General features: G+C 36.4%; 1 protein-coding gene and 1 long non-coding RNA gene across 11 annotated transcripts in view; both read right to left on the reverse strand.

The window, feature by feature from the left end:
* AGBL4-IT1 (AGBL4 intronic transcript 1) overlaps positions 1 to 8,628 on the reverse strand; it is a 97,885-nt gene extending 89,257 nt beyond the window's left edge. The window contains exons 1-2 of the long non-coding RNA NR_046839.1: positions 8,539 to 8,628; positions 6,342 to 6,549 (exon numbers count right to left, since the gene is read on the reverse strand). This is a non-coding gene — a long non-coding RNA (AGBL4 intronic transcript 1). The remainder of the gene's footprint in view (positions 1 to 6,341; positions 6,550 to 8,538) is intronic.
* The window catches only part of AGBL4 (AGBL carboxypeptidase 4), a 1,501,444-nt gene that overhangs the window by 940,947 nt on the left and 538,310 nt on the right, over positions 1 to 22,187 (reverse strand). The window lies entirely within an intron of this gene.

Here is a 22,187-nt window from a genome sequence, read left to right on the forward strand (position 1 = left end):
AAATTTAGGGACCCAGCAGCTTACTGCCCATAAAGCTTCCTTGTATTACTCATGGATCTTCAGAGAAAAGTGGGTCTCTTTTAAGATAAAAAGGATGTTCCTTCTCATCTGCTACTTTCTGAGGCTTTCTCTCATACACAAGTTAAAGGTTATCAGTAAAGAAAGACATTCATTAGAAAAGGAGATGGGGAGTAATTAAGCTGGGAAAGGGATTCTGTGTAACCTAATTCTGACATAATAAGTAACTCACAAACAAGGGGAGAGCCACATATTAATTTAAAGAGCACTGGCACAGAAAACTCTGGGAAGATTAATGATGACATTGAATCAAAACCTCATTTCAACTGAGTGTGCTAAGAGTATAAATAACATCTGAATAACACTACATTTACTAAGTAGTTTCATTTGTTCATGCGTTCATTCATCCTATTCTGTGCTGAGCCTAAGCTAAGTACTATAACTTCCTGAGGGCAGAGGCTGTGGGTTGGTCTTATTTCCAGCATCTGGTACAGTGACTGCTGCCTAATAGGTCCACAATAAACACATGTTGATTAATTTGAGTGAATACAAAGATGACTGAGAGACAGTCTAAAGCATTTAGACTGTGTAATAGAAGAGAAAGACAAACAGAATCAGAGAATATAATGTCCTGAGTACATAACAGAGGGAAACTGTGGAACTCTGCAAAACTGAGAAGGCAACTAAGATAGCATAGAAAGTAGAGGTCAGAATAAACTTCCTGTAGGAGCTGACACGTGGGCTGAATTTTGAAATACCACTTGGCAATATATATACTCTCACTTGATTATGCTTAGACCTAAATGGAGATTATTACTGTTTTACAGAGAAAGAAACTAAGTCCCAGGGAGGCTTGCCCAATGTTACACTATGTTCACATTAATTTATTTACTCCTTCTTTATCTGTGAAGAAGTTACAAGATGAGGGTAGGAACTTTGGCAAGGATTACAAATAACGGAGGAAGCCTTTGTGATATTTTGGAATTAAAGAAGAGATTCTAGTTCTGAGTACACCTTCTTTGATTCTGGAGAACAAGGAGAAACAAAACCAAGCCCAAAATGAAGAAAGCTTTAAGAGAAAAACACAAAGGCGACTTTAACATTGCATTAGTGTGTTCTTTTGTTTTTAGATCAGACATTGTTGAGAACTTACTGGAAACACAGAGATGGAACACAATATGTCTCATTTCAAAGAGCCCAATCTCTAGTGAGATAACACAGGCACATATCAGCAGAGGAGGAAAAGAAGGGCTGATACCCAAGCCACGAATAGAAAAAAAAATCATTTGCCTGTGTGGAAATTCTCAGTAGCTTGAACATAGTAGGTCAAGCATGTCAGTAAATGGAAACATGGGAGGAAGGCTGTGGGCTCCATGATGAGAGAAACTATGACAAAACTGATGCTTGTATCACACCCCCACCCAACAACTACCACCCTCTACTCCTCTCCTGGTACCTAGCTCAAGACCAGGTACTGGATAGGTTTCTATTAAGCCTTTCTGAATGAACAAACAAATGAATGAATAACAAGTAACATGCACTTCCCTCACAAAGAACACTGGCATTTTAAGACCAGCCTTGATGCCTTAAACCAAACAAAGTAGAATGTCAGGCCCTGGGTGAGGTACATACACTGTGGAGCTATTTTGAGAAAATATAATCCCTATTCTGTCATTTCATGTAGGGAAACAATAATCTCCCAACCCTGACTGTATTCCCTACCCTACCCCTACATACACACACACACACACACACACACACACACACACACACACACACACACACACGCAGACATGTCAGCTGGTTCTGGGTGCCAAGAATTATGGACCATTCTTACTGGATTCCTATACTTTCTATACTAACAGATCTTAGGCAGGTCACTTTTCCTCTTAGAGCCTGTGTCCTCATTTGTAAAACTGTCAGAATAAGAGCTGCCTTACCTACCCTGCCAGACTACTGTGGGGCTCACAGGAGATAAGGAGCTTTAAAGTGATATAGAATCTGTCCTCTCCCTATCTCCTCCATATCAACAAATGCGACCATCTTTTATATATCCCCAGTGCCTTAGGCACAGAGATTGCTCCTTGAATTTTTGTCAAATGAATGAAAGTAAACATTATTATTCTAGGCTTTCAGGAGAAAGACAAAAGGAATTCAGCAGCCCAATGTAGGTAATACAAGCATTCCTAAGAAGCACTTCACTGACAAACTAAAGGGAATGGAGCCCACATATAAAGAGGTGGTTTGGTAATAAATCACACATTTGCATAAGCTGTGAATCATTCTGTATAATTAGAACAAATAGTTTACCTATAAATCAAGGCTCTGACATCTGTGAAAGTCTGATGTTTATTCCCCTCAAAACACCAAATTATACTGAGAAGATAACAAATGATCTTTCTGTGGGGAGAAAGGTTGAAGAAGGCGTCTTAAGGGAGAAAGATTGCTAAATCAAATGGTTTAGATGAAAGTAAAAGAGTCTTGAGATGATTCCCAATGACTCATTTTATTGCTTCAGAACTATATACCTGGGCGTGGCAAGGCCCATGGTAGAGTAGCATTTTGTGCCTTAGAATGTAATTTCACAGCAATCCCAGGTTCATATATATCTGAATCATTTCAATTATTGGATCAATAGTGGCTTTCCAATGATCTGGCTGTTTACCTGTATGATAACATTCTAAAAATTCCTCACGGGTTTGGCCTTCATTAGTGTTAATTCAGGACTTCATCCTTTCCAATCTATGTTCTTGAGAATCATTTTATAGAATTTGGGTTCCCCAAAAATAAGCTACTACCATTCATAGGCAGTACAGAAAACAGAAAGTGTCTAAAGGAGCATCTTTTTCACAGGAATCAAGATTTGACTGAAACTCACAAGTCAAAGAAGAGAATAGGAATTAAAATCCAACGGATCAAAATGCAGCCTCATCACTTTTATCTCTTGCCAGGTTTTGTTAACCAGCATAAGAGGGAAAATCGACAGAGGCAATGAATGGGCCTTGCTCTAAAAAGGCCCTTCCATCTGGTGCAGTGCCGAAACCATCAGCCCTGTAATTAAAATGCAATTGCCATCCCCTGCCACAATCCCAGGATGGCCATTTTATCTGCATGAGATATAGAGGGGAAATCACAATTTTTTTACACTTTTCTGGCTCCATTGAGTTTATTCTCCTTCTATTAATTAATCTAACTACACTAGGGGCTCCTTCTTACTCTGAAAACCAGGGTGGCACAAACCACACATGGGATATCTGAAGCAGCATGAATTTTTAAAACTGGGTTCGTATCCTCATTACAGAAAGACTTAATTACTTCTGACTAAATCTGTAATTAAAATATATCACTGGAGCAGATTCACCTGCATGTGTAGGTGTTGGCATGCACACCCTTGTGATGGGCAAAGATGAATCATCCAGAGATAGTGTGCAGAGAAGGAAATTTTACTCAGTGGCAAGATAATTCTAAGAGAAGTTCAAAATTAAAGTCAGAGAAAAAAATCTGATGACATACAGGAGTAATCCCATTAAATCTTAAGAAAATTATACCATACCCAATAGCTAATCATGACAAAAAGGGATGTGCTAGGGTGGAAGGAAACTAAGGTAGGAGGTGACAGGGAATTGGGGTTGAATTGGGAAGGCAGCCAAACGTAAAAGTCAACCATGACTTCTCTACCATGAAGGTGAGTCAAGGTTGTAGTTAGAAAGACAGTGTGAGCCAGTTAGAAAGTGTGAGTAGTTAGAAAGACAATGTGAGCCAGAAATAGAACTATAAATAGTATGCAATCTTGGGTATCTGCTTTATGTGTTGTTTAGAAAGTGTTAAGTGGTTAGACATGAAAGATCAAATGAACTATTCCAGCCTGGAGTATTGTAAGAAATAAAAACTACTAAACTGTCAGATAGAAGAGGTTCAATATTTGTTCTCATACACATAATTTGTCTCTAGCTTGGGTAAGTCCCTTTCTCTTTAGGCCTGTTTCCTCATCTGTAAAATAGGGGCAGTAATTATCTATCTCATGCACCAAGACACTATGTGCATCTATACAACTGTGAGGGCACCATCCACGTCAACTATGAGCAATGCAGGACTACTGTGTGATCTATGGCCTGAGAAGGGAAGGGTCTTTATTGCACTAGAAAAGTCTGTGTAAGTACATTACATTTTTAGTTTGCATGACCTTAAGCCATATACTGTCATTTGTTATGAGTTTCCTTATGATTAAAATTAAGGTGTTGGACTTCACGATTTCTTAAGGTCTTGTTCAATTCTAATATTTAAAAGTATTACAGTTTATTCACACATTCGACTAAAATTCAAGTAGGACCTAAGACAAGTGCAGAAAATTAAAAAATAGTTGAAATATGTTCCTTTCCTTTAAGAGTTCCCATTTGGGTGGACTTTATGCTAACTATATAAAGTCCTTCTAGGTAAGACATTTCATGCTTTTTAACTGTATTTTCTTAGGCCCTGATATGCAAGTGCAATTATCAAATTATAGCATTGTAAAACATTAAGCTAATAAGACTAAACAATTGCAAATTTTAAATGACATTTAAAATTAGGCAAAATCTTATCTTTAGACAAATAAAATTGCAGTTGATCCTTCAACAACATAGGTAACATAGGTTTGAAATGCATGGGTCCACTTATACACAGATTGTTTTCAATCAAATGCAGATGTGGGACTTGAGTATGTAAGGATTTTGGTACACATAAGGTCCTGAAACCAATCCATGAAATATAGTGAAAAGTAACTGCATTTGGAATGTCTTTGGATTATTTTAATATGAAATACTGAACTGGAATTCAGAACAACCAACTCTAGTCCTGGATTAACTGCTAGTCACTTGAGAGCTTAAGTCATTTGGTCTCTCAGAGTATCAGCTCCCAGATTTGTATCATAATCCTGAAGGATACAATCCCAAATGCCATAATCCTGAATGTTGAAATTCTGAAAGATCAAAGTCCCCCAAAATACAAATCCCTAAATTCTAAAATCCCTAACATCTAAAATCTTGAAAATCACAATCACAGGATAATTTGCCTCATGTCAGTCCAGCTCTTATGGATTATCCCTATGCAATTGCCCATAATCTATTCCTGTAATACACATTCTCATGTCAAATTTTCTTTGCCGTTCGTTTAGTTTTCTTCACTATTTTCAAATTTCAGCATTATTTTTTTACAATTCACTATGCTATGTATTTCATCTTCACATCATTTCCAATACCGAAGGAATAAATTGTGTGGAGACCTTTAGAGAGTTCTAATTTGTTTTATGCATTTTTTGCAAATTTGACTCCATGAAAGTGCATTATCACAATATTGACTTTGTATATAAGCATTGTATGTGTATATAAAAATGTTGAAATTTCCTCAGTAAATGAAGAAATGCCCTTTTTGTACACGTACATTTGTGAAATATAAAATTTCTCAAGATCTCAGCTCTTTGGATGACTACGTACACAGTGGTGACCCATTGTAGTTTTTGATCTGTCTCATCAAACGACTTAGGTTGTTTGTCATGGTATTTCAGATGAACACATTATAAAGCTGGGTACACACAATTACCAACCACAGTGATGCATGTTTATACATTTCCCTTTTCACCTATTTCTTTATGCATATGATTCATCTGCTCATAACTGTTACAATGATGTGACTGTTGTTAGTATACTTAAGTGTTTATGCTTGCAAAAATACATATGTTATTATTGCCTATTTTATTGTTAAGATATCCTATGAAATGTTTTGTCATGTTTTTATGTTTCTCAAATGTCCTTTAAAATGTAGGGAAATATCTTTTAAATTTTTTAAAATTATTTTTTCCAGTATTATATTTCAATCTTTTGAGATTTCAACATTTGGGATTATGGTGTTTAGGATTGTATCTTTCAGGATTATGATCAGCTCCTTCAGTCTCCTTCCAATCAAATAAGAGATTGGGCCAACTAAGATTATCTCTGAGCTTAAAGCTTTAGGGATTCATATTTTAGTTAGTGCATTATCAAATTATTTAAAATAATTGCACTGCAAATACATACACTTTGGTATGTTTTGCATTTTACCAAATACAAGTGGTAGTATACATTTATACCAAAGATGACCAAACTCTTTCTGACATCTCATAAGACACCCCTAAGTCCCATAAATAGTTGATGATTCTTGCTAAACCAGATAAAGTTTGTAAAATGAAATTTACAGAAAGTTAAAATTATCATTGAACCAGTTCTTTCAAATTCCTTCATAATAATTTTGATTTAAGCTGCTGCTAAGAAGCTGAACTCACTGATTTAAATTTTGCTATGTGTTCTCACCTCCATTCACTGCTTTCTTACTAAATAAGTATTTTGCATCCATTTTATCTTTTAATTTCATCTTCGGTTAAGCAGATTGGCTGAAGCACAGAGTCTATGTAAGAGAGGAATACGAGACAGGACTGGATATAGAATCCTAACCCTGACACTTCCTAATAGTGTGTCCTCGGGTAAATGATTCAATATCCCCTAGTCTCAGTCTCTCTACCTGTAAAATTAGAATAATAACAGTCACTCCACAGAATTATTTTAAAAATTAAAAGTTATATACAGAGAATTTCAAGTACAATGTCTAAAATGTAGTAGGTATTCTAAAATGTATTTTCTTCTCACTGTACCCCATCTATAACATCATCCACAGATGAAACACTTTTCCAGAAAACAGAATTTATTTAATCAGGAAATTTTGTCTTAGATATAATAGTATTAAAACAATATCTATATCAAATGTATACTATAGATTTCTTGAAATAATATGTCAGATTATACTCGCTCCATACATTCATCAAAAAGACTTAGAAGTTCCAGGCAATGCTACCCTTGTAAAATATTCCTATAAGATATGCACTATTTGAGAGAGAGAATAGGAGAAACTAATTTACTATCCGTTTCTCTATATCTTTGACCTCTAAACAATAAGATAGATACCAAAACATAATATACTTAGGTTTTATTAGCTTAACTACTATTAGAAGTGTCATTACCAAATAGGTTATGTGTTAGCAGGTGGAACTTGACTCTGGAGGCAGAGCTAGGACACCAGACCAAATTGAGGACTAGCTAAAACAGGGAATGGGTGGAAGTAGCTTTCCATAAGACATGCCCACCACTATGCCCTGTCAGTTTACCATTGCCATGGCAACACCCAAAAGTTACTACCCCTTCCCATGGCAATAATCTGACGACCTGGAAGTTATCACCCTATTTCAATAAATTTCGGCATAATCTGCCCCTTAATTTGCATACAATTGAAGTGGGTATAAATATGACTGCAGACATGCCTTTGAGCTGCTACTCTAGGCAACTGCTTATGGGGCAGCCTTGCTCTGCAAGGAGCAATACCTCTGCTGCTGCTGTACCTGCGGCTTCAATAAAAGTTGCTGTCTAACACTACCGGCTCACTCTTAAATTCCTTCCTGGGCAAAACCAAAAACCCTCTTCAGCTAAGCTCCAATGTGGGGGCTTGCCTGCCCTGCCTTAGTTAAGATTTTAGCTTTTATAGATGCTCTGTGTAAGAAATGCTCACCTATAAGAAATAATCTAATATCTTTGAAAAATCTCAGCTTAAAGATATCATGAATTTAACCAAAGCCTCTCTCTACAAGGAATACACATAACAATCTCTCCTAAAATGTAGATCCAGGAAAAACTTTCTAGTCAACAGATTTGCTTCCTTTTATGAAACAAAAGCAATAATATAAGTCATTATGTTATTTTTGCTTTGGTATCAAGGAAGCTTAAAGGTATATCTAGTGTTTTATTTAAACACTAGATTTTTGTCCCCATGAGTACCTTCACAATCTCATTTACACTGCATTCAGAATCTTCCAAAAATTTGTTTTTGTTTTTGTTTTCAGTCTTAACTTCTCAAATATTCAGGAGCCTGCTTCTAGGAAGATGGAGCACATGTATGTTTCCCTAATTCTCTTGCAGGGTAAAACTAAAACTCTTGGACTTTATACACAACAACGAACATAATAAGACTCCTAAAGGTGGAGGGAAGCAGCAGACTAACTAGGGACCTTGGGACCCAGAGAATGACATGGTGGTCAGTTCCATGGGTTTTCTTTTTGCCTCAAAGATGCAAGAATGGGTACTACAGAAGCCAAAACTCCTGAAATGCCAGTAGGTACAAACAAACAAAAGCCAACAAAAATCTGTTCCCTAGACAAAGGATCAGGAAAGAGGCAGCCCAACAAGACAAGAAACTCTTAGAAAATAAATTTTCTACTATAGCCAACACCACAGAAAAAAAACTGTGACCCTATTATACTCACAGGAACAAAAGCTAGTGAGTTGTCTAGACTTTCACCCTCTCCATACTGTAACAATGTGTCCCAACCCCACCATCAGAGTGGTGTCAGAGATGGCCAAGTAAGAAGCTGAGACCTTCATTCCTGCTGGGTAGCAATGAGCCTCCACCTACACCACTATGGTGTCAGTAGAGGAAATGTGGGGTACCAGAACTTTTACTCACCTCAGAAGAAATGAGGATCCCCTCCTTGCTTGTGTAGTGTCAGAATAGTCTTGTGGAAAATCGTAATTTTTACCACAGCCCAGAACCCTGCCCAGCAGTAACAAGGGACCCCTTCTGTTGCAGCTGTCAAGTGAGGAACTTGTAATTCTACTCCCATCTGCAATAAGGTGGCAACATCCTCTTTCTTTCAGAGTATTTATTGTCTGCAGAAGTCAATCAAGACATATTATTTAAGTCTGATGTGGAGTCTCATAATCTAATACACAAAATGGTCAAGTTTTACTAGGAAACCACATATACCAAGAACTAGGAATATCTTAAATGAAATGAGAAAAATGTAATTAGTAGATACGAACACAGATATGGCAGATATTTAGAATTATCTGGCAACGATTTTAAAGTAGCCATCATCAAAATGCTTTATCGAGCAAATATAAACAAGCTTGAAACAAAAAAATAAAGAATCCCCTCAGAAAAATTAAGTCTCAGAAAAGAATATGAAAAGGGACAGCTCCTGTAGAAAACAGTATTGTGGCTCCTCGAAAAGTTAAAAATAGAAATACCAGATTATCCAGCAATTCCACTTCTCAGTATATACTGAAAATAATTCAAAGTTGAGTCCTGAAGAATATGTGTTTTGCTTTGTTTTGTTTAGTTTTTGGATTATTATTTTCATTAATTTTATTTTAGATTCAGGGGTACATGTGCAGGTTTGTTACATGGGTATATTGTGTGATGCTGAGTATTGGGTTTCTAACAATTCTGTCACCCAAGTAGTGAACATAGTACCCAGTAGGTAGTTTTTCAGCCAATGCCTCACGCCTTTCCTCCCTCCTTCTGGAATCCCCAGTGTTTATTGTTCCCATCTTTGTGTCCATGTGTACCGTATGTTTTACTCCCATTTATAAGTGAGAACATATGGTATTTGGTTTTCTGTTCCTGCATTAATTCGCTTAGGATAGTGGCCTCCAGGTGCATCCATGTTGCGGCAAAGAACATTATTTCACCCTCTTTATGGCTGTTGTATATGTATCCTATTTTCTTTATCCAATCCACCATTGATAAGCATCTAGGTTGATTCCATGTCATTGCTATGGTGAATAGTGCTGAGATAATCATGCAAATGCATGTATTTTTTGGTAAAATGATTTATTTTCCTTTGGGTATATACCCAGTAATGAGATTCCTAAGTCGAATGACTGTTCTCTTTTAAGAAATCTCCAAACTGCTTCCCACAGGGGCTGAACTAATTTACATTCATGCCAACGGTGTATAAGTGTTCCTTTTCTTCACAACCTCACCAACATCTGTTATGTTTTGACTTTTTAATAATAGCCATTCTGACTGGTATGAGATGGTACCTCATTGTGGTTTTGATTTGTATCTGTTTGATGATTAGTGAGGTTGAGCATTTTTTCATGTTTGTTGACTACTTGTATGTCTTCTTCTGAGAAGTGTCTGCTCATGTCCTTTGCCTATTTTTTAATAGAGATGTTTGGTTTTTGCTTGTTGATTTAAGTTCCTTATAGATTCTGGATACTAGACCTCTGTCAGTTTGCAAATAAAATTTTTCTTATTCTGTAGGTTGTCTGTTTGCTCTCTTGATAGTTTATTTTGCTGTGAAGACACTGTTTAGTTTAATTAGGTCCCACTTGTCAATTTTTGTCTTTGTTGCTATTGCTTTTAAGGATTTAGTCATATTCTTTGCATAGATCAATGTCTAGAAGAGTATTTCCTGGATTTTCTTCTAGTATTTTTATAGTTTTAGGTTTTACACATTAGTCTTTAATCCATTTTTAGTTAATTTTTGTATGTAGTGAAAGGCAAGGGTCCAATTTCACTCTGCTGTATGTGGTTAGCCAGTTTTCCCAGAAGCACTTGCTGAATAGGGTATCCTTTCCCAGTTGTTTATTTTTGTAAACTTTGTTGAATATCAGTTGGCTGTATGTGGGCAGGTTTATTTCAGAGGTCTCTATTCAGTTATGTTGATCTGTGTCTACATTTGTACCAGTACCATGTCATTTTGTTTACTGCAGCCTTGTAGCATAGTTTGAAGTCAGGTAACATGATGATTCCAGCTTTATTCTTTTTGCTTAGGACTTCCTTCGCTATTTGGGCTCTTTTAGTTCCATATGAACTTTATGATCATTTTTTCTAATTATGTGAAAAAATGACATTGGTAATTGGATAGAAATAGCATTGAATCTGTAGATTGCTTTGGGCAGTATGAACATTTTAATGATATTGGTTCTTCCAACCTATGTATGTGGAATGTTTTTCCATTTATTTGTGTCATCTCCGATTTCTTTCAGCTCTGTTTTCTAGTTCTCATTGTAGAGATATTTCACTTCCTTGGTTATATGTATTAGTGGGTACTTTTGTGTGTAAATTGTAAATGGGATTACATTCTCCTTTTTACACATTTTTTTGAGACAGGGTCTCATTCTGTCACCCAGGCTGGAGTGCAGTGGTGTGAACATGGCTAACAGGACCCCGATCTCCTGGATGCAAGCCTGCAGAACAACTGGGACCACAGCCACATGTTTCCATTCTTGGCTAATTATTTCAGTGAATTCTTGACTTGGTTCTCAGCTTGAACTTTTTTTTTTGGTGTATTAAAATGCTAGTGATTTTTCCATGTTGATTTTGTATCCTGAGACTTTGCTGAACTATTTAAAAAAATAGCTCTAGGGATATTTGGCAGAATCTTCAGGGTTTTATAGGTATAAAAAAGGTATTGAAGAGTTTGGTATTTATTGTAGTCTTCTCAGTCTGGCCTTGTTTGTACCTGTCCTTTTTGGAAAGACTTTCCAGGTATTTGAAATAACTGGAGTGTTGTAATTTAAGCTGTATCTGCATTAGGAGCCACCCCAAGTACATTAGCAAAGAGAGAAAATCTGACTTCCTCTTTTCCTATGTAGATGCCTTTTATTTCTTCCTCTTACTGGATTGTTCCAGCTAAAACTTCCAGCAGTACGTTGAATAGTAGTGGTGAAAGTGGACATTATTGTCTTGTTCCAGTTCTTAGGAGAAATGTTTCCAGTTTTTGCCCATTCACTATGATATTGGCTGTAGGTTTATCATAGATGGCTTTTATTATTTTGAGGTATGTTCCTTTGATGCCTAGTTTGTTGAGGGTATTTAACATGCAAGCATGTTGGATGTTATCGCATGCTTTTCCTGCATCTATTGAGATAATCTTATGGGTTTTGTTTTTAATTCTGTTTATATAATGTATTACATTTATTGATTTGCATATGTTGAACCATCCTTGAATTCCAGGAATAAAGCCCACTTCATCAGGGTGAATAAGTTTTTGATGTGCTGCTGCATTCAGTTTGATAGTATTTTTTGAGGACTTTTGTGTCTATGTTCATCAGGGATATTGGCCTGTAGTTTTTTTTGTTTTGTCTTTGCCAGACTTTGGCACCAAGATGATATTGATTTCATAGAATGAGTCAGAGAGGAGTCTCTCCTCAATTTTTTTGGAATTGTTTCAGTAGGATTGATAGCAGTTCTTCTTTGTACATCAGGTAAAATTGGCTGTGAATCCATCTCGTCCAGGGCTTGTGTTTGTTGTAGGTATTTTTATCCCTTATTCAGTTTTATTACTCATTATTGGTCTGTTCAGGATTTTGATTTCTTCCTTGTTCAATCTTCCAAAGTTGTGTGTTTCTAGAAATTTATCCATTTCCTCTAGATTTTCCAGTTTTTGTGCATAGAAATGTTCACAGTAGTCTCTGAGGATCTTTTGTATTTCTGTGGGATTGGTCGTGATGTTACCTCTGTCATTTCTAATTGTGCTTATTTGGATCTTCTCTCTATTTCTTTTTTAATGTAGCAAGCAGTTTATCAATCTCATTTATCCTTTCAAAGAACCAACTTTGTATGTTGCTGAACCTTTGTATAATTTTGGGAGTCTCAGTTTCATTTAGTTATGCTCTGGTTTCAGTTATTTCATTTCTTCCACTAGCTTTGGGTTTAGTTTGTTTTTGTTCTAGTTGCTTTAGGTGTGAGGTTGGGTTGTTAATTTGAGATCTTTATATTGAGGTGCTTAGCATTGTAATCTTTCCTCTTAACACTGCTTTTGCTGCATCCCAGAGATTTTGGTATGTTTTGTCTCTGTCTTCATTTATTTCAAAGAATTTTTTTTTATTTCTGCCTAAATCTTGATGTTTACCCAAAAGTCACTCAGGAGAAAGTTGTTTAATTTTCATGTATTTATGTGAATTTAAGAGATCTTCTTGGTACTGATTTCTATTTTTATTCCATTGTATGCTTAGTATAATTTCAATTGTTTTAAATTCACTGAGACTTGCTTTATGACAGAGAATGTGGTCAATCTTAGAGTATGTTCCATGTGCAGATGACAACGTACATCTTGAGGTTGTTGGGTGGATTATTCTGTAGATGTCTATTAGATACAACTGATCAAATGTCAAATTTAGGTCCATATTTTTTTCATTAGTTTTCTGCCTCGATAATCTGTCTAATGCTGTCAGCGAGATGTTGAAGTCCCCCACTATTATTGGTGGCTGTCAATATTTTTTCTTAGGTCTAAAAGTACTTGATTTTTGAATCTGGGTGCTCCAATACTGAGTGCATGTATCCTTACAATAGTTAGGTCTTCTTGTTGAATTGAACACATTATCATTATATAATGCCCTTCTTGGTCCTTTTTCTTATTGTTTCTGACTTAAAGACTGTTTTATGTAATATAAGAATAGTGATCTCTGCTATTTTTTGTTTTAAATTTGTGTGATAGATCTTTCTCCATCCCTTTACCTTATGAGACTATAGCATTTCTGGACCTGCCCTGGGCCTGAGGGTTGCTCAGTACACTGAAAGGTGAATCCCAGGCATGGCAGCATTCACCACAAGCTGACTGAAGAGCCCTTGGGCCTGAAGATAAAATCAATAGAAGCCTGGCAGTAAGTACTCCCTAAGGGCCTGTTGTGGTATAGTCCATATGATGAAACTTCTCTGCCTGTGGAAAGGGGAGGAAACAATGGGAAGGACTGCATCTCATGATTTGAGTGTCAGATAGGCCACACTAAAATAGAATACCAGGTAGGTTTTTTAAGTTTTCGACTCTAGTCCCTGGTCCTCGAACAGCACCTCTGGACCCATGCAGGGCCTTGGGAACTCACCTCACTGAAGGGAAGGATATAAACTTGGATAGCTTCACTAGCTGCTAATTGTAGTTGCAGGGCCTTGAGCAAACATAGGTGGTAGCAAGGTAGTAATTACAGCAGACCTTGGGCAAGACACAGTGCTATGCTGGCTTCAGGTTTGACCCAGCACAGTCCTAGTGATGGTGACTGCAGAGGTTTTTGTGTCACCAGAACCCTAGATCCACGTAGCTTAGAGTGGAGAGAAATCAGCTCCATTTGTTTGGAAGAAAGTAAGGGAAGAGATCAAGAGTCTCTGCCTGGTAATCCAGAAAAGTCTTTTGGATCTTACCCAAGACCACCAAGGTGGTACCTCCATGAGGCTACAAGAATCATAGCATTACTAGGCTTGGGGTGCCCCCTAATGTGGATACAACTTAAATCACAACACTCAAGTTCTTTCAAACACCTGGAAAGCCTTCCTGAGAATGACAGGTACAAACAAGGCCAGACTGAGAAGACTGCAATAAATAACAAACTTTTCAGTGCTGAAGAAATCTACTAGCATCAATACCATCTAGAAAAACATGACCTTACCAAATGAACTAAATAAGGCACTGGAAAACAATCCTGGAGAAAGAGATATGTGACCTTTCAGACAGAGAATTCAAAATCACTGTTTTGAGGAAACTAAAAGAAATTCAAGATAACACAGAGAAGGAATTGATAATTTTATCAAATAAATGTCACAAAGAGATTTGAAAAATTAAAAAAGAACCAAATAAAGATTCTGGAGATGAAAATGCAACTGACACACTGAAGAACACATCAGTCTTTTAATAGCAGAACTGATCAAGCAGAAGAAAGCATAAGTGATCTTGAATACAGGCTATTTGAAAATACACAGTCAGATGAGAAAAAATTTTAAAAAAGAATTAAAAGAAGAAAGCCTGCTTGCAGGATTTAGAAAATATCTTTAAAAGAGCAAATCTAAGAGTCATTGGGCTTAAAGAGGAGGTAGAGAAAAGATAGAGTTACAAAGTTTATTCAAATGGATAATAACAGAGAATTCCCAAACCTAGAGAAAGATAACAATATCTAAGTATAAAAATAAAATACCAAGCAGGTTTGACCAATAGAAGACTAACTCAAGACATTTAATAGCCAAACTCCCAAAGGTCAAGGATAAAAAAAGGACTCTAAGAGGAGCCAAAAGAAGAAGAAGGAGAAGAAAGAAGAAGTAAAAAAGAAAGAAATAACATATAAGGAATTCCAATATGTCTAGCAGCAGATTTTTCAATAGAAACCTTATAGGCCAGGAGAGAAGCATGACATATTTAATGCTCTGAGGGAACAAACTTTTACCCTAGAATACTATCTGGTGAAAATAACCTTCAATCATGAAGGAGAAATAAAGACTTACCCAGACAAACAAAAGCTGAGGGATTTCATCAACACTAGACCTGCCATATAAAAAATGCTAAAGGGATTACTTCAGTCAGAAAAAAAAGAATATTAATGAACAGTAAAAAATCATCAGAAGGTACCAAACTCATTGCTAATAGTAAGGACACAGAAAAACACAGACTATTATAACACTGTAACTGTAGAGTGTAAACCACTCTTACGTAGAAAGACTAGAGTATGAACCAATCAAAAATAACTACAGCAACTTTTCAAGACATAGACGATGCAATAAGACATAAATAGAAATAACAAAAAGTTAAAAAGGAAGAAATGGAGTTAAAATGTAGAGTTTTTATTAATTTTCTTTTTGTTTGTTTGTTTATGCAGAGTTAAGTTGTTATCGGCTTATAATAATGGGTTTTAAGATACTATTTGCAAGCCTTATGTTAACCTTAAATCAAAAAACATAGGATACATAAAAAATAAAAAGCAAAAATCAAATCATACCACCCGACAAAATCATACTCACTGAAAGGAAGACATGCAAGAAAAAAGGAAAAAAGAGAAGACCTCAAAACAACCAGAAAAGAAATATAATGGTAAGAGTAAGTCCTTACTTGTCAATAATAACACTAGAACCGACAAATTAAGTAATGCTGTAGGATATAAAATCAATATACAAAAATCAGTTGCATTTCTGTATGCCAACAGTGAACAAATCAAATCAGGAAAGTTATCCCATTTACAATAACTACAAATACAATGAAATATCTAGATTTTTTTTTTTTACTTTTATTTTAAGTTCAGGGGTACATGTGCAGTATGTGCGGGTATGTTACATAGGTAAACCTGTGTTGGGGGGTTGGTCATAAAAATTATTTCATCACCCCGGTGTTAAGCCTAATACTGATTAGTTATTTTTCCTGCTTCCCTACTTCCTCCCACCCTCCACCCTCTGATAGGCCCCGGTGTGTATTGTTCCCCTCTATGTGTCTGTGTGTTATCATCATTTAGGTCCCACTTATAAGTGAGAACGTGGGGTATTTGGTTTTCTGTTCTTGGGTTAGTTTGCTAAGGATAACGGTGTCCAGCCCCATCCATGTCATGCAAAGGACACGATCTCTTTCTTTTTTTTATAGCTGCACAGCATTTCATGGTGTATATGTACCACATTTTCTTTTCTTTTTTTCTTTTTTTTTTTTTTTTGAGGCAGAGTCTCGCTCTGTCGCCCAGGCTGGAGTGCAGAGGTGCGATCTCAGCTCACTGCAAGCTCCGCCTCCCGGGTTCACACCATTCTCCTGCCTCAGCCTCCCAAGTGGGAGTGGCTGGGACTACAGGCGCCCGCCACCACGCCCGGCTAATTTTTTGTATTTTTAGTAGAGACAGGGTTTCACTGTGTTAGCCAGGATGGTCTCCATCTCCTGACCTCGTGATCCACCCGCCTCGACCTCCCAAAGTGCTGGTATTACAGGCGTGAGCCACGGCGCCCGGCTCACATTTTCTTTATCTAGTCTATCACTGATGGGCATTTGGGTTGATGCCATGTCTTTGCTCTTGTGAATAGTGCTACAATGAATATATGCTTGTATGTGTCTTTATAATAGAAAAATTACAATTTATATTCCTTTGGATATATACCCAATAATGAGGTTGCTGGGTCAAATTAGTTCTCTCTTTAGGTCTTTGAGGAATCACCACATTGTCTTCCACAATGGTTAAACTAATTTACACTCCCACCAACAACATGAAAGTATTCTTTTTTCCCCATGACTTGGCCAGCAACTGTTATTTTTTGACTTTTTAATTATAGCCATTCTGACTGGTGTTAGATGGTATCTCATTGTGGTTTTGATTTGCATTTCTCTAATGATTAGTGATGCTGAGCTTTTTTTCATAGGTTTGTTGGCCACTTGCATGTCTTCTTTTGAGAAGTATCTGTTCATGTCCTTTGCCCACTTTTTAATGGAGTTGTTTTTTTTTTCTCTTGTAAATTTGTTTAACTTCTTTATAGATGCTGGATATTAGACCTCTGTCAAATGCATAGTTTGCAAATATTTTCTTTCATTTTGTAGATTATCTGTTTCTTCTGTTGATAGTTTATTTTGCTCTGCAGAAGTGCTTTCATTTAATCAGGTCCCACTTGTCAATTTTTGTTTCTGTTGTAATTCCTTTGGTGTCTTAATCATGAAATATTTGCCCCTGCTTACGTCCTGAATTATATTGCCATAGTGTCTTCAAAGGTTTTTATAGTTCTGGGTTTTACATTTACGTCTTTAATCCATCTTGAGTTAATTTTTGTATGTGGTTTAAGAAGGGATCCAGTTTCATTTTTCTGCATATGGCTAGCCAGTTATTACAGCATCATTTATTGAATAGCGAGTCCTTTCCCCCATTGCTTGTTTTCGTCAGGTTTGTCACAGATCAGATACTTGTAGGTATGTGGCCTTATTTCTAGGTTCTGTGTTGTGTTCCATTGGTCTATGTGTGTGTTTTCATACCAGTACCATGCTGTCTTGGTTACTGAAGCCCTGTAGTATAAAGGCAGGTAGCGTGATGCCTCCAGTTTTGTTCTTTTTACTTAGGGTTGCCTTGGCTTTCGGGTTCTTTTCGGTTCCACATGAATTTTAAAATAGTGTTTTCTAGTTCTGTGAAGAATGTCAGTGGTAGTGTAATGGGAACAGCATTGAATCTATAAATTGCTTTGGGTAGTATGGCCATTTTAACAATAATGATTCTTTCTATCCATGAGTATGGAATGTTTTTCCACTTGTTTGTGTCATCTCTGATTTGAGTGGTTGGTTTGTAGTCTCATTGTAGAGAACTTCCACTTCTCTTGTTAGCTGTATTACTAGGCATTTTATTCTTTTTATGGCAGTTGTGATTGGAAGTTCATTCGTGATTTGGCTCTTGGCTTGACTGTTTTTAGCATATAAGAATGAGAATGCTAGTGACTTTTGCACATTGATTTTGTATCCTGAGACTTTCCTGAAGTTATCAGTTTAAGAAGCTTTTGGACTGAGATGGAGTTTTCTAGATATAGGATCATGTCATCTGCAAACAAAAATAGTTTGACTTCTTCTTTTCCTATTTGAATACCCTTTATTTCTTTCTCTTTCTAATTGCTCTGGCCAGAACTTCTAATACTTTGTTGAATAGGAGTGGTGAGAGAGGGCATCCTTGTCTTATGCTAGTTTTCAAAGGAATTGCTTCCAGCTTCTGCCCATTCAGTATGGTGTTGGCCGTGGGTTGGTCATTGATGGCTCTTACTATTTTGCGGTGTGTGATTTCAATACCTAGTTTATTGAGAGTTTTTAACATAAAGAGATGTGAAATTTTATCAAAAGGCTTTTCTGCATCTATTGAGATACTTATGTGGTTTTTGTCTTTAGTTCTATTTGTGTGATGAATCATGTTTACTGATTTGTGTCTGTTGACCCAATCTTGCATCCTGGGGAGGAAGCCTACTAGATCGTGATGGATAAGCTTTTTGATGTACTGCTGTACTCGGTTTGCCAGTATTTTGTTGAAGATTTTTGCATTTATATTCATCAAGGAAATTGGCCTGAAGTTTTCTGTTTTTGTTGTATCTCTGCCAGGTTTTGGTATCAGGATGATGCTGGCCTCATAGAATGAGTTAGGGAGGAGTCAGTCCTTCCTTTTCGATTTTTTGAAATAGTTTCAGTAGGAATAGTACCAGCTCTTTGTTTGTACATCTGGTAGAAATCAGCTGTGAATCCATCTGGTCCTGGGTAGGTAGGACCAGGTTTATTGGTTGGTAGGCTCTTCATTACTGCCTCAGAGCTCATTATTGGGCTGATCGGAAATTCAGTTTCTTCCTGGTTCAGTCATGCGAGGGTGTAAGTGCCCAGGGATTTATCCATTTTTTTTCTAGATTATCTAGTTTATGTGTCCATAGGGGTTTATAATATTCCTGTTTATATTTCTGTGGGGTCAGTGGTAATATCCCCTTTGTCATTTTTAATTGTTTTTATATAAATCTTCTCCCTTTTCTTCTTTATTAGTCTAGCTAGCAGTCTATCTACTTTATTTTTTTTTTAAACCATTTCTGGATTCTTTGATGTTTTGAATGGTTTATCATGTCCCTATCTCCTTTAGTTCAGTTCCGATTTTGGTTATTTCCTGTTCTCTGCTAGCTTCGAGATTTGTTTGCCATTGGTTCTCTAGTTCTTCTAGTTGTGATATTAGGTTGTTGAGATCTTCCTAGCTTTTTGATGTGAGCATTTAGTGCTATAAATCATCCTCTCAAAACTGCCTGAGCTATGTCCCAGAGATTGTGGTATGTTGTATCTTTGTTCTCATTATTTTCAAAGAACTTCTTGATTTCTATTTTAATTTCATTATTTACCCAAAAGTCATTCAGGAGCAGGTTATTCAATTTCCATGTAATTGTATGGTTTTGAGTGAATTTCTTAGTCTTGACTTCTCATTTGATTGTGCTGTGGTCTGAGAGAATGTTATGATTTCAGTTATTTTATGTTTGGTGAAGAGTGTTTTATTTCTGATTATGTGATCAATTTTAGAGTAAGTGCCATGTGGAAATGAGAAGAATGTATATTCTGTTATTTCTGGATGGAGAGTTCCGTAGATATCTGATGCATTTGATCCAGAGCTGCTTTCAGGTCTTGAATATCTTTGTTAATTTTCTGTCTTGATGATGTCTAATATTGTCAGTGAGATGTTAAAGTCTCCCACTATTATTGTGCAGGGGTCTAAATCTCTTTGAGGATCTTAACCAAAGAAGTAAATAATCTTGGCAATAAAAACTATAAAACATTTATGCAAGACACTGAACAAGACACCAAAAAATAGAAAATTATTCCCTGTTCATGGATTGGAAGAATTAATATAGCTAAAATGTCCATACTACCCAAAGCAATCTACAAATTGAATGCAATCCCTCTCAAAATACCAATGAAATTATTCACAGAAACATAAAAAAATTCCTAAATTCATATAGAATGATACAAGACCCAGAATAGCCAATAAGTGGTGCTGGGAAACATGGATATCCATATGGAAAAGAAGAAAATTAAACCCCTATCTCTCACCACATACAAAAATCAAATCAAAGTGGATTAAAGACTTAAATCTACCTTAAACTATAAAACTACTACAAAACACATTGAGGAACCTCTCCAGGACATAGAACTGGGCAAAGGTTTCTTGAGTAACGCTCCGCAAGCACAGGCAACCAAAGTAAACATGGCCCAATGAAATCCCATCATGTTAAAAAAAAAAGAAACTTATGCACAGTATAGGAAACAATCAAGTGAAGAGACAACCCATAGAATGGCAGAAAATATTTGCAAACTATGCATCTGACAAGGAATTAATAAACAGAATATATAAAGAGCTCAAACAACTATATAGGAAAATATCTAATAATCTGATATAAAAATGGGTAAAGATCTGAATATACATCTCTCAAAAGAAGACATACAAATGGCAAATGGGTATAAAAAGGTGCTCAACATTATTGATCATCAGAGAAATGCAAATCAAAACTGCAATGAGATATCATATTATTACATTTAAAATGGCTTTTCCAAGAGTCAGGCAATAACAAATGCAAGTGAGGATGTGGAAGAAAGAGATCCCTCATACACTGTTTGTGGGAATGTAAATTAGTACAACCACTGAGAAAAAACGGTTTGGAAGTTCTTCAGAAACTACAGATAGAGCTATGTTATGATCCAGCAATCCCTCTCCTAGGTATATATTCAAAAGTTGGGAAATCAACATACTGAAGAGATATCTGAACTCCCATGTTTATTTCAGCACTATTGTCAATAGGCAATATTTGGGAGCAACCTAAGCATCCATCAACAGAAAAATGGATAAAGAAAATGTGGTACATATACACAATGGAGTACTATTCAGCCGTAAAAAAAGAATGAGATCTTTTCATTTGTAACAACATGGATGTAACTGGAGATCATTATGTTAAGTGAAATTAGCCAGCCACAGAAAGACAAAATTCACATGTTCTCCCTTATTTGTGGGATCTGAAAATTTAAACAATTGAACTCATGGAGACAGAGAGTAGAAGGATGATTATCAGAGGCTGGAAAGGGCAGGGCGGTACAGGGATGGGGTGGGGTTGATTGGTACAAATAATTAGAAAGAATAAATAAGGCCTACTATTTGATAGCATAACAGAGTGACTATAGTCAATAATAATTTAATTGTACATTTAAAGATAACAAAAAGAGTATAATGGGATAGTTAGTAACACAAAGGATAAAAGCTTGAGGGGATAAATATCTCATTCTTCATGATGTGATTGTTACACATTGCAGGCCAGTATCAAAACATCTCATTTAATTCATAAATATATATATACACTATGTACCCACAAAAGTTAAAAACTTTTAAAAATCTTTATAAATGTAAAAGAAAAAAGCAGAAAATGTGGTACATATACATGGTGGAGTACCATTCAGCCTTTAAAAAGAATGAGATCCACTGTTGGTGGGACTGTAAACTAGTTCAACCATTGGGGAAGTCAGTGTGGCGATTCCTCAGGGATCTAGAACTAGAAATACCATTTGACCCAGCCATCCCATTACTGGGTATATACCCAAAGGATTATAAATCATGCTGCTATAAAGACACATGCACACGTATGTTTAATGTGGCACTATTCACAATAGCAAAGACTTGGAACCAACCCAAATGTCCAACAATGATAGACTGGATTAAGAAAATATGGCATATATACACCATGGAATACTATGCAGCCATAAAAAATGATGAGTTCATGTCCTTTGTAGGAACATGGATGAAGCTGGAAATCATCATTCTCAGCAAACTATCGCAAGGACAAAAAACCAAACACCGCATGTTCTCACTCATAGGTGGGAATTGAACAATGAGAACACATGGACACTGGAAGGGGAACATCACACACCGGGGTCTGTTGTGGGGTGGGGGGAGGGGGGAGGGATAGCATTAGGAGATATACCTAATGTTAAATGATGAGTTAATGGGTGCAGCACACCAACATGGCACATGTATACATATGTAACTAACCTGCACATTGTGCACATGTACCCTAAAACTTAAAGTATAATAATAATAATAAAAAGAAACAGGTGAAATTAAAAAAAA

This window comes from Homo sapiens, chromosome 1 (genome assembly GCF_000001405.40).
Source record: "Homo sapiens chromosome 1, GRCh38.p14 Primary Assembly".
Lineage (NCBI taxonomy): Eukaryota > Metazoa > Chordata > Mammalia > Primates > Hominidae > Homo > Homo sapiens.